The 15,710-nt window shown below is 55.7% G+C and overlaps 1 protein-coding gene across 1 annotated transcript, besides 3 other annotated features; it reads right to left on the bottom strand.

Annotated features, from left to right (window-relative positions):
- Window positions 1–39: 39 nt before the first annotated feature.
- Window positions 40–15,696, bottom strand: CSDC2 (cold shock domain containing C2). The gene is made up of 4 exons (NM_014460.4): window positions 15,523–15,696; window positions 4,565–4,863; window positions 2,929–3,051; window positions 40–1,973 (listed from the first exon to the last, which is right to left on the bottom strand). Exons 2-4 carry the CDS (start codon window positions 4,738–4,740, stop codon window positions 1,811–1,813), a joined length of 462 nt encoding a protein of 153 aa, NP_055275.1. The 5' UTR covers window positions 4,741–4,863; window positions 15,523–15,696; the 3' UTR covers window positions 40–1,810.
- Window positions 10,215–11,037: an enhancer, noted in NCBI's record as "H3K27ac-H3K4me1 hESC enhancer chr22:41961673-41962495 (GRCh37/hg19 assembly coordinates)". NCBI's record gives its function as "activates a minimal SCP1, AML or CMV promoter by ChIP-STARR-seq in naive H9 embryonic stem cells {active_cell/tissue: H9 hESC(naive)}" and the evidence as "EXISTENCE:reporter gene assay evidence [ECO:0000049][PMID:30033119]".
- Window positions 10,215–11,081: a biological region, named in NCBI's record as "Sharpr-MPRA regulatory region 3167".
- Window positions 10,787–11,081: an enhancer, noted in NCBI's record as "tiled region #3167; K562 Activating DNase unmatched - State 5:Enh". NCBI's record gives its function as "activates a minimal TATA promoter and a strong SV40 promoter by Sharpr-MPRA in K562 cells {active_cell/tissue: K562}" and the evidence as "EXISTENCE:reporter gene assay evidence [ECO:0000049][PMID:27701403]".
- Window positions 15,697–15,710: the final 14 nt, after the last annotated feature.

Genomic DNA, 15,710 nt, shown 5'->3' with positions numbered 1-15,710 from the left:
TCCTTGGGGACCCTGACACAGAGGCAGCTTCAGGCCACGGTGGGTCACAGTTGAGGGTTTATTGCCAGTGTTAGGAAGAATGGGGGGTCTGGGTGGCCAGGGGTCTTGGGAGGAATTCCAAATGAGCACTGCAGGGCCTGTGAGTGGGGAGGAGAGCTGCTGCCCCCCTGCCACCCAGGAGGCCCCAGGGCTGATGCCACCATATCCTGACTGCTAGTGGTGCCTTAAAAGGTGGCCTCCCCACAGGAGGGGAGCCTTGGGGGCCCCCAGGAGTCAGCCCTCACCAACAAGCCCTCTCTCAAGGGGGCCAGGGGCCTTTATTCCTCATGGGACAGGCTGGGCCGTGCCCATTTTAGGGGAGCTGACCACACCTCAGCAGCTCTGGGCTCCCAGATTTTATGTGGTGGGCCCTGGGGCCGGGGGTGGGATGCAGGCATCCCGGCTGATTTCTACCCTGCGGTCTTGGGGCACCTACAAGGCAAGGGATCCTCCTAGACAGTCACTGATCCCCTCATCCTGGGCATTTGAGCCCCCAGTTTTACTCACAGACTGAGTCTCATAAGGGTCCCACCCCTGGCCAGCCCTCCCTCGAACCACGGCCCCACTTCTCCCCGGTCAGGCGATGTGCTCTCTAGAAGGGAGGGTGGTAGGCAGGGGGTGCACCCAGAGGTGGAGGCAGACAGGGCCCTCCTTCCTGGCCTCCTGGGCCAGGCCACCCTCACCCCTGCCTGGGAGTGAATGGCCACGACCCCGGGTGCACACACATCTTGGCCCCAAAAGGACTCCAGGTGACAGCAACAGCCACACATCTTCAGGGATGGATGCAATAAGAGCCACACCTCGGCCACTGGTCTGTTAGGGCTTTGGGAAGAGAGTTTGACGTGGAGGCCGCAGGGCCAGTCTCCCAGGCTGGGGGCCCTCCTCGTGGGTGCCCCGGACGTGTGTCCGTCCCTCGCGGCATCCACAGCAGCCGTCAGCCGGGCATGGCCCAGAGCATCAGTGGGGCTTGTGAGTCAGGGTAAAGGAGGTCTGCAGCCAAGCTGGAGAGATGGACCCCCACCCTCTGCAAACCCCTGGGCTCGGCTCAGTACAGCCCAGGGGAAGGAGCCCAGCGCCACTGCCAGGCTGAGGAGGAGGGACTGGCCGGCGAAATGGGAGCCCCAAACCCCTTCCGCCCTCAGGCCCCTCTTCCTGCCTCTCCATGGCACTGAGAGAGCAGAGCAGGAAGGAAGGCTGGCCTCGGCAGTGAGAGGCCTGTGTGCCTCCGTGTCAGTCCTCCTCCCCTGCCAGAGGCTGAGAGGCTCCCCAAAAGCACCCATCGGCCAGGCTTCTGAGGGAAGGGTCCAGGCTGTGGCGGGGGACCTCAGCCAAGGGAGGGAGATGTAAGTAGCACAGAGAGCCTGGCTCCGGGCCAGGGACTGACACGGGACAGCTCAGGGGCGGAGGCCAGGGAGTGAGCCCAGCGCAGGCTCTCGCAGCTCAGTCACCGTGGGGACGGGTAAGCAGGAGGGCGAGCGGGTCCTGCGTGTCTGCGGCAGGGAGGGGAGGAGAGAGGCAGTGGACAGCGCGAAGCCAGGTCTGGTGGCCTTGCCCTCCACCTACCTCCTGGCCAGCTTGCACAGTAGTCACGGGTCGTGGGGTGGGTGGAGGCACACGCTCATAGCCACAAGCACAGACGGACAGACAGACGTGCACACTGAGGCCACCGAAGGACTCATCAGCCAGGGCAGTGGGGCATGGAGCCGGCTGCTGCCCGTTCACCCTGTGTGGCTCCCCAACCCCCGGCCAGCTGGCCTGTGAACCACTCAGCCTAGGAGCCCACGACCTGGCCAGACCACGTCTCGTGGGGAGTGTGGGGGGCCAGCTGAGTGAGCACCACCTCCACGGCCTGGAACTTCTGGTTCTTGGGAGGGATAGGGCACATCTTGTAGGTCACCTCGTCGCCCTCCACTGGCACGTACTCCCCCTCGATGCTGGCGGGCAGGAAGAGGGGTATTAGCCCAGCAGCAGGCCCTGTGCCCCAGACAATCCTGTGGCCTGGCCTTGGGGGCAGCCTGGCCCTAAGCCTCCCTAGGCCAGGAGGCCTGGCCAGGCCTTGCTTCTCAGAACCTCAGCTCTCGAATCTGTAAAACGGGACTCATGGCTGGGCACAGTGGCTCACGCCTGTAATCCCAGCACTTTGGGAGTCTGAGGCGGGCGGATCACCTGAGTCAGGAGTTTGACACCAACCTGGCCAACATGGCGAAACCCTGGCTCTACTAAAAGTACAAAAATTAGCCAGGCATGGTGGCTGGCACCTGTAATTCCAGCTACTTGGGAGGCTGAGGTGGGAGAATCGCTTGAACCCAGGAAGTGGAGGTTGCACTGAGCCGAGATTGTGCCATTGCACTCCAGCCTGGGCGACAGAGCGAGACTCCCTCTCAAAAAATAAATAAAATAAAATAAAATGGGACTCATAAACTGTACCTCCCTTTCTGGGTCCCTTGGGGACCGAGATGTGAAAGGGCACGGGGAGGTCCCTAAAGCTCTGAGAAGCTCAGTGACCTCCCCCGGTCCTCCTGGCATTAGAAGTGGGTGGGGCCAGGCCTAGACATGATATCCATCTCTACCTCCTGGCCCACCCACATGAAGGCCCTTTCCAGGCCAAGAGGCTCAGGAGCTGGCCTAGCCCTCTCAGACCTCCACGATGCTGTAACAGGATCCAGGGCCCAGCCGCTGGCTCCCAGGCTTCTGGGGTCTGCGTGCCCACTCCCTCCCTGGCCCCAGCCCTCCTCTCCCAACGCACCCTCAGCCCCTACTCAGAGGACAGAAAAGGCACCATGAATACAGACCTCAGCCAGTGAGAGGAGAGGCCTGGAGAGCCATTTTTGAGGCACCATTGGGGACACTAGGGCAGGGGCCAAGAACAGGGAGGTGGAGGGGACTCACTCAGACACATGTACGAAGATGTCCTCGGACCCGTTCTCGGGGGTGATGAAGCCATGGCCCTGTGAGCGTGAGAACTGCTTACAGACGCCCTTGAACACGGGGCCAGCTGAGGCCCGGGCTGTCCTGGAGATAGGGTAGTGGGATTGGAGCTGTGGCCTGAGGAACTCCTCCCCGGATCCCTACAGCCATTCTGGGCCCTTTCTGCTGAGCGTGCCTCAGGGCTGTGAGAAACTTGACCCAGGCCAGAAACCACACAGTCATCCCCATTCAACGATAATGAGGCCAGGCACGGTGGCTCACACCTGTAATCCCAGCACTTTGGGAGGCTGAGGCGGGAGGATCACTTGGGCCTAGGAGTTTGAGACCAGCCTGGACAACATAGGGAGACTCCCATCTCTACAAAAAAAATTTTTTTTTTTTTTTGAGACAGGGTCTTTCTCTGTCACCCAGGCTGGAGTGCAGGGGTGCAATCTCAGCTCACTGCAACCTACACCTCCCAGGTTCAAGCAATTCTCATGCCTCAGCCTCCTGAGTAGCTGGGATTACAGGCACCCACCACCACACCCAGCTAAGTTTTGGCATTTTTAGTAGAGACAGGGTTTTGCAGTGTTTGGCCATGTTGGCCATACTGGCTTGATCTCCTGTCCTTAACTGATCCACCTGTCTCGACCTCCCAAAGTGCTGGGATTACAGGCATGAGCCACCATGTCTGGCCCAAACATTTTTTTAAAAAAATGAGCTGGGGGTGGTGGCACGCACCAGTCGTCCCAGCTACTCAGGAGGCTGAGGTGGGAGGATTGCTGAAGGCCAGGAAGTTGAGGCTGCAGTGAGCCATGACTGCACCACTGCACTCCAGCCTGGGCAACAGAGCGAGACCCTGTCCTTCCCAAAAGATCCTTTGGCCTCCCCCATATGGACCCGTATTACTCCCCTATGCCACCTCATCGGTGACCTACCCCAAAGGCCCAGGCCTAGTCTTTGTCCCGCCTACCTACCCCTCTCCAAAGGTTAACTCCGTGTCTTGGGTTTTGCCCATGCTGTACCATCTGCCCAGAATCGCCAGCTCCCTTCTTCACCTGATACATCTTCCATACCCAACCAGGACATCATCTCCTCTGGTACCCCATGCTGGGTCCTCACCCCTAACCCTGCTGGGTGGTAATGGATGGTGAACAAGTTCCCTCTGGATTGTAAGCAGCTTATGGATCCTGACTGGTCAGGAGCTCAGTAAATCTTTGTGGAATAGATGGATAGATGAATGGATGGGTGGATGGATGGACGGACAGACGGATGGATGGACGGATGGATGGGTGGGTGGATGGATGGATGGATGGATGGACAGGTGGATGGATGGATGGATGGATGGATGGATGGATGGATGGATGGATGGGTGGGTGGGTGGGTGGGTGGGTGGGTGGGTGGGTGGGTGGGTGGATGGATGGATGGATGGATGGATGGATGGGTGGATGGGTGGATGGATGAATGGATGTATGGGACAAACATCCATCCAGTTACTGGAAGGTCCACACACAGTTCCCCTGTCCCAGGTGAGGACAACAGGAGTTGGAAGAGGATGGGGATGGTCAGCCCCTGTCCTGACAAGGGTCAGGGGCCTGGGCAAGGGGCAGGTACTCACGCTGAATAGGTCCTGGTCCGCTTGGTGGGCAGAGGGCTGGGTAGGTCCCGAGGTGGGACACCACCCCGCTCCCAGACCCTGCTGCCCTCCCTGTGGAAGGGGAAGGTGGGCCAGACTGGGGACTTGGGGGAGTGGAGCGGGGGCACAACTGGGGGTGACGTCGACTCTGAAGTCATGGTGGGGCCAGCAGGAGAGCCTGGTGGGCTCTGGGGCCCAGGGGCCGGTGAGGGGTTTGGTCGTCCTTGCGGGCAGGGCCCGGCCTGGCCCTGCTCTGCGGCCTCACCAGCCACGGGCTCCGTCTGGAAGAGGAAGAAAGAGGCACAGGTGAGCCTAGTCCAGGGGAGCAGCTCCTGAACCCTGGCCACAGTGAGGAGGGCTGGTCCCACCTGCTATCCTCACGGCGTTACTTCAAGTCACAAACGACCCCATCGTGGTTCAGAGTCCTCACCAGAAAAACAAAACTAGGGGTCATATGACCCCTAAGTCCTTCCAGTTTGCAGTTCAATTCTCTTAACTCCAGGGGCCTGGGAGGTGGCTGGGTAGGGTGGCCAGTGATGGTCTAGAATATGGTTCGGCATAAGGGTCAGTTGTTTCAGAGTCACACATCTGGGTTCAAACCTTAGCTTTGTCACCTACAACTTGGTGACTTCAAGCAAGCCAAGCCACACATCAGCTCCAACATGGCAGGTGGGAGTATGGGCTCCACACCCAGGCCTGGGTTTGAATCCTGCATCCTCCACCTTCTGGCTACATAGCCTTGGCTCTGGTCAAATTTTTTTTTTTGTTTTAGACAGAGTCTCACTCTTGTTGCCCAGGCTGGAGTGCATTGGCACGATCTCGGCTCACTGCAGCCTCTGCCTCCTGGGTATAAGCGATTCTCCTGCCTCAGCCTCCTGAGTAGCTGGGATTACAGGCGCCTGCCACCACACCTGGCTGATTTTTTGTATTTTTAGTAGAGATGGGGTCTCACCATGTTGGCCAGGCAGGTCTCGAACTCCTGACCTCAGGTGATCTGCCCACCTTGGTCTCCCAAAGTGCTGGGATTACAGGCATGAGCCAACTCGTCCAGCGCATTGGTCAACACTCTTAACTTCTGACTCTTATTTTCTGTTCTGTAAAATGGGGCTAGCATTGATCCTTTGTTTTTTTTTTTTTTTTTGAGACATGGTCTCATCCAGTCTGGGGAACACTGACATGGTCATGACTCACTGCAGCCTCCATCTCCTGGGCTGAAGCGATCCTCCCACCTCAGCCTCCCAAGTAGCTGGAATTTACAAGCATGCACCCTCACACCTAGCTAATTTTTTTTTTTTTTTTTTTGAGACAGAGTCTCACTCTGTCACCCAGGCTGGAGTACAGTGGTGTGATCTCGGCTCACTGTCACTTCTGCCTCCCAGGTTCAAGTGATTCTCCTGCCTCAACCTCCCAAGTAGCTGGGATTACAGGTGCCTGCCAACACGCCTGGCTAATTTGTGTATTTTTAGTAGAGACGGGGTTTCACCATGTTGGCCAGGCTGATCTCGAACTCCTGACCTCAGTTGATCTACCTCCCTCGGCCTCCCAAAATGCTGGGGTTACAGGCCTGTGGCCTCCAATTTATACCCCTCCCACCCCAGAGCTTGGAGTTCCCAGGGAAGGAAAATCACCCACAAGGTTCCTGTAAGGTTCCTTGGAGTCCAGAGCTCAGAAAGCCTGAACACCCTGCATGGCAGGCCTGGATGAGTCCAGGAGTCCACTGGAGCAGGTCTTCTGGCCTCTGCTCAAGATTATACAGCAAGTGGAATTTTTCTGAACCAAGATGCTGAGCTGGCTCTGCCATGCCTAGGGGTGGAGGTGGAGTAGTATCCTCCCTCCTCCCAAAACCCTCCCCCTCCAGTCAGGAAGGCACTGGAGCCCCGGGCTTGGCTTGCCTCACAGACCCTCAACCCTGAAAAGGCTGAAGTGGGGCTTTTCTGTCTAAGCTCATGCCAGGTTGGCAGGGCAAACCAGGTTTGGCCTTTTCACCCATTATCCTCATTTTAGAGAGAAGAATACGGAAGCTTCAAGAAGCAACCACACAAACAGCCGGGTGTGGTGGCGCACACCTGTAATCCCAGCACTTTGGGAGGCCAAGGTGGGCAGATCACTTGAGGTCAGGAGTTCGAGACCAGCCTGGCCAACATGGTGAAACCCCGTCTCTCCTAAAAATACAAAAATTAATCGGGTGTGATGGCATCCACCTGTAGTCCCAGCTACTCAGAAGGCTGAGGCATGAGAATTGCTTCAACCCGGGAGGCAGAGGTTGCAGCAAGCCAAGACCACACCATTGCACTCCAGGGTGGGTGACTGACCCAGACTCTGTCAAAAAAAAAAAAAAAAAAAAAAGCAACCACACAAACACTTGGACATAAATGTTCATGAATGGTCACACCAGTGCTCATTCACAACAGCCAACAAGTGAAAACAGCCCGAGCCCATCAGCAGATGAATGGATAATAAATTATGGTCTAGACACATGGTAGACTAGCACTTGGCCATAAGAAAAAGAAAAGAAGAAATACTGATTCACGCTACACCCTAGATGAACCCTGCACACATTATGCGAGAATGTTTGCAAGGTCACAGAGAAGAAGCCAGTCCCAAAAACACAGAGGGCATGATTCCATCTCTGAGGCAAATCCTCATAGACAGGGAGTCCACTGGTGGTCACCAGGGCTGGGAAGGAGGGAGAGGGGAGGGCTGCCAATGGGTAGAACGTTTCTTTTTGGGGAATGGAAATGTTCTATAATTGGCTGTGGTGATGGCTGCACAACTCTGTGAATGTACTAAAAACAACTGAACTGAACGCCTTAAGCAGGTGAATTTTATGGTATATGAACGATATCTCAGTAAAGCTGTTACCAAAAAAAAGAAGACGGGGCAGCAAAGTTACCCAAGATGACACAGCTGGGAAGCACCAGACGCCCTGCAGTGCACTCCTTGAGTGCCACCTGCCCCACCTGGGTGAGGGTTGGCAGGCGATGGGGACAGAGGCCCTGCCTCCCTCTCTCTAGGGAGCAGGGCGGTCCTGGCCTCCCAACTGCAGTTTTCCCAGGCCTGGTATTGTGCTTGGCAGTGACAGCCAGTGCTGGGAGGCCATGGAGGGGCAGGGAGGGAAGAGGAGGATGGAGAGGGGGAGATGCAGCTCATGGTGGTTACCAGGGAGACGCGGCTGAGCTGGGGCCTGCTCTGGCCAGCCAGACCTCCCACCCAAGTGACTGTGCGGCTCCAGGGCCTCATGCTAAGTGGGCTGCAGGGATGGGGGAAGAACCCACTGATGATTCTGGGCCAGGGTCGAGGGCAGCCTCCCCATGATGGGCTCTCAGGTGGCAGAGAGACCAGAGAGCAGAAGGGAGGCAGAAGAGCCACAGCAAAGACAGGACCAAGAGGAGGCAGCGAGTTGGCCTCAGGGCAAGAGCTCAGGCAGGGGCAGGAGACAGGCAGCTTCCACAAGGCAGAGAGAACAGGCTTCTCCCCTGTCGCCCATTGCAGCCTCAGTTTCCTTATCTGGGAAATGGGGATCACAAGAATTCCTCCTCCAACAGGCAAGGTGGCTTACGCCAATAATCCCAGCACTTTGGGAGGCCAAGGCAGGAGGATCTTTTAAGCCCAGGAGCTTAAGACCAGCTGGGGCAACATGGTGAAAGCTTGTGTCTATAAAAATTACAAAAATTAGCTAGGCATGGCGGTGGCGCACCTGTAGTCCCAGCTACTTGGGCATCTGAGGCAGCAGGATTGCTTGAACCCAGGAGGTCGAGGCTGCAGAGAGCGGAGATCACGCCTCTGCAGTGCAGCCTGGGGGACAAAGTTAGACACTGTCTTAAAAAAAAAATTAGCTGGGTGTAGTGGTGCATGCCTGTGGTCCCAGCTACTCAGGAGGCTAAGGTGGGAGGACTGCTTGAGCCCAGGAGGTCAAGGCTGCAGTGAGTGGTAATCAAGCTACTGCACTACAGCCTGGGCGACAGAGCAAGACCCAGTCTCAAAAAAAAGAGAGGGAGAGAGAAAAAAAAGACTCTCTCCTCCAAGGGCTCTTTTGAGGATGAAATGAGAATTGAGGTGGGATGTGGGAAGCACTGAGTAGGCGCTGGGCGCTGGGCGAGAGCCTGCCCCTCCTAGACAAGGCTGTGGAATTGGGTGTTGAGGGAAGAGGGAGTGGGGGAAGGAGAGACCCAGCCGAGCTGGGCCAAGCCCACCATTCACTTTCATCCTCTCTTCTTCCCTAAGGATCGCCCACCCCTCAAAGCTCCACAGTCTCTTGTTTTATTTAATTCCTGCAACTGCTCTTCAAGGCTGGTGCTATTATTACCCCACTTTGTAGACAAGAAAATCGAGGCTCAAAGAGGTTAAATCACTCACTCAAGGACACACACCAATCAAAGTCTGAGCCAGAATTTGAATCAGTATGATCTGGAGCCTTCCAGTGGGAAGGCAGGAGTCCTGTGTCCAGGCTCTGTATTGCTATTGACCTACTGTGTGAGCTGGTACAGGGCCTTTCCCTCTCTGGGCCCTGCCAGGGCGTGGGCTTGGAGGAGCTGTACAATGCCCAGCAGCCCGAGAGACCAGAGAGAAGGGAAGATGGAGATACGGAGCAACCCTCCAGTTCAGACCCCCTCTCCAGAGCATTGCTGCCAAAGAGGGCAAGTGAAAATGAGGCTTTCATTGGCTGAATGCCATGTACTGTGCAAAAGTCTTTACAGAAATTATTTTCTACGTTTCAACCTCCCAGTTACCCTATAGAGTTGAAATTACAATTTTTCCATTTTACAGATGAGATAGCTGAGGCTCAGAGAGGTTGAGTGACTTGCCCAAAGTCACACAGCAGGTGACAGAGTCCCAGATCTGTCTAACAGTAAACCAGTGCTCTTCCTGTGAATATAAATTCTGTTCCTGGTTCAGCCAAGATGAGGCTGGAGTTTTTCCAAAAGAACTTTCCCTGAGAAACTAAATGGGAAAATAAACTCCCCCAAGAGCAGAGAAACTGATATGTTTCTAGAACATTTGTTTCCACTCAAACAGAGCTAAAGGCCAGCTCCAGGGGGATTTCGTGTGTCCTTCTGGGGCCATCTCCTGCCAGGAATAATGCCCTTCAGAACGAGCAGTCAGGTAAGAGGGCAGCCTGAGACCCAGACTGCCTGAGTTTAAATCCTTGTTCCACTGCAACCCAGTTTTGTGACCCTCCCTTTTTTTTTTTTTTTTTGAGACGGAGGATCGCTCTGTCGCCCAGGCTGGAGTGCAGTGGCGCGATCTTGGCTCACTGCAAGCTCCGCCTCCCGGGTTCACGCCTTTCTCCTGCCTCAGCCTCCCGAGTAGCTGGGATTACAGGCGCCTGCCACCACGCACGGCTAATTTTTTGTATTTTTAGTAGAGACGGGGTTTCACTGTGGTCTCGATCTCCTGACCTCGTGATCTGCCCGCCTCGGCCTCCCAAAGTGCTGGGATTACAGGCGTGAGCCACTGAGTCCGGTGACCCTCCCCCTTTTTTTTTTTTTTTTTGAGACAGAGTCTCACTCTGTCCCTCAGGCTGGAGTGCAGTGGCGTGATCTCGGCTCACTGCAACCTCTGCCTCCCAGGTTCAAGTGATTCTCCTGCCTCAAACTCCCAAGTAGCTGGCTGGGATTACAGACGCCCACCACCACACCCAGCTAATTTTTGTGTGTTTTTTTTTTTTTTTTTTTTTTTTTTAGATGGAGTCTTGCTCTGTGAACAGGCTGGAGTGCAGTGGCGTGATCTTGGCTCACTGCAACCTCTGCCTGTGGGGTTCAAGCGATTCTTCTGCCTCAGCCTCCTGAGTAGCTGGGACTACAGGCGTGTGCCACCACGCCCAGCTAATTTTTTGTATTTTAGTACAGACAAGGTTTCACCATGTTGGCCAGGATGGTCTTGATCTCCCAACCTCATGATCCGCCCACCTCAGCTTCCCAAAGTGCTGGGATTACAGGCGTGAGCCACTGCGCCCAGCCTTTTTTTTTTTTTTTTTTTTAATCAGAGATGGGGTTTCACCATGTTGGCCAGGCTGGTCTCGAACTCCTGACTGCAGGTGATCCACCCGCCTTGGCCTCCCAAAGTGCTGGGATTTCAGGCATGAGCCACTGCGCCCGGCCAACTCTCCCTTTTTGTGCCTCAGATCCCTCATCTGTCAAATGGGGCTGATCATAACATCCTACCCAGGTTGTCGGGAGGAGCCACAGAGCTGTGTCAAAGGCCCCCCGGCGAGTGTGCATCCCCCTGTCCCCCGGCCCTGAGTTTGGGCTCTGAGCCAAGCTCATCTTCATTTCCCTGCAGAAGGCCAGACCCCAAATGACTGACTCTGCAGACAAAGGGGCCTAGAAGTAAACACAAATGTCAGGCTGTTTGGAGATAACCTGAGGCTGGATGCAGTGTCATGGGGCACTCTGGGTGGTGACTCAGCCTTCTTGGCAGATGAACCACAGCCCATGCTGGGACTCTGCTCCAATTCTCAGCTCCCCTAAAAGGATGCAGAATGGGGCAGGAAATGGTTGTCATGGTTCTCTCTTACTTTTTAATTTTTTGAGACAGGGTATCACTTTGTCACCCAGGCCGGAGTGCAGTGGCACCATCATGGCTCACTGCAGCCTCAGTCTCCCTAAGTGCTAGGATTACAGTGTGAGTCACTGTGCCTGGCCATAGTCCTCTTTTTTTTTTTTTTTTTTTTTGAGATGGAATCTTACTCCGTCACCCAGGCTGGAGTGCAGTGGCATGATCTCGGCTCACTGCAACATCTGCCTCCCGGGTTCAAGCAATTCTCCTTCCTTAGCCTCCTGAGTAGCTGGGATTACAGGCGTGCACCACCACACCCGATTAATTTTTGTATTTTTAGTAGAGATGGGGTTTCACCATGTTGGCCAGGCTGGTCTCAAACTCCTGATCTTGTGATCCACCTGCCTCAGCCTCCCAAAGTGCTGGGATTAAAGGCGTAAACCACCGCACCCATCCTTTTTTTTTTGAGTCTCACTCTGTCTCCCAGGCTGGAGTCCAGTGGCGCGATCTCGGCTCACTGAAACCTCTGCCTCCCGGGTTCAAGTGATTCTCCTGCCTCAGCCTCTCGAGTAGCTGGGATCACAGACGCTCACCACCATGCCCAGCTAATTTTTGTATTTTTAGTAGAGACAGAGTTTCACCATGTTGGCCAGCTGATCTTGAACTCCTGACATCAGGTGATCAACCCCCTTGGCCTCCCAAAGTGCTGGGATTACAAGTGTGAGCCACCGCGCCTGACTGTATGGTCTTCTCTTGACCATGAGTCCTCTCAGTCTGAGCGGATTAGGGAAAGGCAGCCTGGTCAGCCACCCAGTGCTGTGTGACCTGGGGCAGGCACCTGCTCCTCTCTGGACCTCACCTTTCTCTTCAGCTACGTGAATCATCGTTGGTCCAGATGACTAATGAAGGTCAGGCCAATTCTCCTCCGAGGTTTTCAAAAACACATATGTAAATGAAATCAAACTGAGTGCAGGCACCAGAACAACAAACGTGGGGCAACAGCTGTCCTTAGAGCACCCCAGTCCAGCGGGGGGAACAGAAACAGATTATTAAAATGCAGCTTGGGGGCCAAGAGTGGTGGCTCACACCTGTAATCCCAGCACTTTGGGAGGCTAAGGCGGGTGGATCACGAGGTCAGGAGATTGAGACCATCCTGGCTAACACGGTGAAACCCCGTCTCTGCTAAAAATACAAAAAATTAACTGGGCGTGGTGGCAGGCACCTGTAGTCCCAGTCACTGGGGAGGCCTGAGGCCGGAGGATGGTGTGAACCCGGGAGACGGAGCTTGCAGTGAGCCGAGATCGCGCCACTGCACTCCAGCCTGGGCGACACAGCAAGACTCTGTCTCAAAAACAATAATAATTTTAAAAAAGCAGCATTGGAAGTCCTGATGTGAGCCTCAGCCACCATCTAGTGATCTATTGATACTGACCATGTGCCAAGCCCTTTGCCCCATTTTTTCATTTCGTACTCATAAGAACCCGATGCAGTAACTACCATTAGTACACCCATTCTTCTTCTTCTTTTTTTTTTTTTTTAATTGAGATGGAGTCTTGCTGTGTCGCCCAGGCTGGAGTGCAGTGGTGCGATCTCGGCTCACTGCAAGCTCCGCCTCCCAGGTTCCCGCCATTCTCCTGGCTCAGCCTCCCGAGTAGCTGGGAATACAGGTGCCCGCCACCACGCTCGGTTAATTTTTCTTTTTTTTTTTTTGTATTTTTAGTAGAGACGGGGTTTCACCGTGTTAGCCAGGATGGTCTCGATCTCCCGACCTCGTGATCCGCCCGCCTCAGCCTCCCAAAGTGCTGGGATTACAGGCATGAGCCACTGCGCCTGGCTTAGTACACCCATCTTCTAAAGAGTAAACTGAGGCTCAGAGAGGTGAAGAGCCTCGCTGAGCTCTCACAGCAGGTCAGGTGCAGCATATCTGCCCTCTGGAGATGTCTGGGGAGGTGAAGACCAGCCATTCCTTGAGGGTGGCGCCCACCCTCCCCTGGAGAAGGAGGAGTCGGGTGTGGAATTCCTGGGGAGCCAGGACTGGGGCTTTTATTTCTGGCTTTGCGCTGACTCAGACCATGACCTTGGGTGAGTCACTCACCAACTCTGCTAAGCTTAAAAACAACTCCCCCAATAAAAATGTCCCAGCCCCAAGCCCCCATCACAGGGGAGCAGATGGGAGGAATGGGTACGGTGGTTTAAAAATAGAAAGGACGGGGAACACAAGGATGACGCTGGAAGGGCTTCCCGAACATCGGGAGCTTGTGCATGGTGGGCCCTGGGAGAGTGAGAAAACAAACTCAGGACCCCCGGGCAGGAGCTGACACTTCCCTGGCTCCTCCCCCTCCCCCAGCCTCCCAGATGCTCCTTAAAATACATCAGTGCCTGAACTGCTCTTGCAGCCTGAGGTGACCTGATTAAACCTGGTCCTTCCCCCACACAGCCTGTGTGCCTGCGTCTGTGCATGAGGGCTGCCCCAGCCAATACTTGAGCTTAATTATTTAAGAGACCCTGTAGTCCTCCTTGTCACATGCCCAGGCTGCCCTGGGGAACTGCTGTGGTTAAGGCCTTTGGGCTTCTGTGGCTTGGGTGGTGGTGGGGAAACCAGGACGGCACTGGGAGAGCCAAATACGCACCCCAGTCCCACCTGTGCTTGGCTGTGCGACCCTAGGCAAGTCACTTTCCCATTTTGAGACCCCCTAGAGAGAGGAATAGACTGGTCAAAGTCATACATACATACAGCATCTGAACTTGAACTCCAATCAGTGTGACCCCACAGCTTTCTGGTGTGCCATGCCAGCCCCCCAGCCCAGGAGTGTCATTTTGCTGGCTGTGGGGCAGAAGAGCTCCCTACTACTTTTAGCCTCCCATTTTGCTGCTCAGCATGGACAAAGGTCTGAACTGCCCCAAGCCCCATTCCTACAAGGCTCTGGGTCCTGGCTGCCCCAGTTGTGACCGTGGACATGACTGGCTCAGCCAGGTCCTGAGCGCCCTCTACCCCCTAGGGGGCTCTACTCCAGACTGGCTGGCAGGTGTCCCCTCCCCACCAGCCATCTGAGAGTGTCCCCAAGTCCCCCTCAGGGAATCCCCCTGCGCATCCGTGAACATTGCCTAGCCATGTCTCTCCAAGCCTGGGAGAGCCATCTGTGGCCAAAACTGTCCTCTGGCCTTTCCCAGGACACGGGCAGGCAGTTCCTGTCTATACCTGTCTTTTTTTTTTTTTTTGAAGGGGGTGAGGATGGGTCAAGATGGGCAGACACAGAAAACAGACATTTTTGGAGAAGACTTCAAGGAAATGGGGGGCGGCAGGGCAAAGCTGGGAGGAGGAAACATTCAGAATTTGGAGGGTCCAGAGGACTCTGGGATGGAGTCAGGTTTGGGAAACCAGTTCCCCATCCCCCAGAAAGCTGGAGACCCCCTTTCCCAGGGAGAGGCCCCTGCCGGATCACAGCCAGGCAGCATGATGCCAGGCTCTCAGAGAGGTTGCCCACCCCCCACTGGGCATACTTCCTCCTCTCCTACCCCAGCCCCAGTGGATGCAGCAGTTCACACTCTGTATTTATTATTGTTCTCGCTCTGTGTCCCCCTCCCCTCTCCCTGGGAAGAGCCTGCAGGCTGGCAGCTTGGCAGGAACCTGCTGTCTCCTTGTGGGTGCCAGCGTCGCCCCTTATCTCCGCCTGGACTCCTTGTGCCAGGGTCAGGCCATTCATGGGCTTGGCACCAGCCAAGGCCACCCTAAGTCCCTGTATCCCAAGATAGAGGCCTGGCAGGCCCTGACTTATCACCCCTGCCCTCCGGGGGCTGTGCCCTGGCAAGGGTGGAGGTCAGAGCAGACCAGCAGGCAGGCAAGAAGCAAGGGCTCGGGGTGGGGTGGTACCTGGGGGAAGAGAATAACCACACGGAGCCACCTCTCTAAGCCAACTAACACAATTATCCCCATCACACTGGGGAAAAAATAGAGTCAGGATAAGACAGCTGCTCCAGGTCCAACTGTCTGCCTTTCCCAGCCGGTCCCTTCCCAGCCCAACATTCCAGGGGAAGGACCAGCAAGGGTCCCTGCTGCACTCTGCTTTCAGCAACTGGAAGCGGCACTGGGGTTTCTCTGGTCAAGGCGGTCCTCTCTCCCGCTGCTTCCCAGACAGGAGGCTGCGGCTTGGCAGGTATCTGCTGCTCTCTGCCTCCTGAGCCAGACGCAGGTCCCAGACACAGACACAGACACAGACACAGACATGCTCCCACGGGAGCCACACGGCCTCACCTCATTTGGGGGTCACGGGGAGAGAATGAGGGAGGGAGAGACAGGTGGTATCCTCTATACCCCCAACACCCTATCTGTAAGCTGAACTGGGCTGATCCAGCCCCCACCTTCACGTTGTACCTCTCTCCTTCGGCCTGGCCAAAGCCACAGTTTCTGGCACAGTGTCCTCAGGCCCCATCTAGCCCCTCACCTCTCCTGGGCAGCTGGGGTCCAGGCACTGCCTCCTGCGGCGTCCGCGCTCTGTCTCTCTCTGGCTCGTGGAGCTGGCAGGCAGGGGATGGGTCTGGAAGATGTGTGTGTGTGTGTGTGTGTGTGTGTGTGTGTGTGTCTGTGTGTGCTCGCGCGGGCGGTACCTCAGCCCCTCACTCACTCACACGC

This window comes from Homo sapiens, chromosome 22, assembly GCF_000001405.40.
Source record: "Homo sapiens chromosome 22, GRCh38.p14 Primary Assembly".
NCBI lineage: Eukaryota > Metazoa > Chordata > Mammalia > Primates > Hominidae > Homo > Homo sapiens.
Note: the sequence above shows the minus strand (reverse complement) of the source record. Positions and strands in the feature narration are given on the sequence as shown.

Coding starts and splice junctions, on each gene's coding strand:
- CSDC2 (NM_014460.4), bottom strand. CDS start 4,740: ATGACTTCAGAGTCGACGTCACCCCCAGTTGTGCCCCCGCTCCACTCC. Junction 3,052..4,564: donor CGGACCAGGACCTATTCAGC/GTGAGTACCTGC, acceptor CCCTATCTCCAG/GACAGCCCGGGCCTCAGCTG. Junction 1,974..2,928: donor ATCTTCGTACATGTGTCTGA/GTGAGTCCCCTC, acceptor CCTGCCCGCCAG/CATCGAGGGGGAGTACGTGC.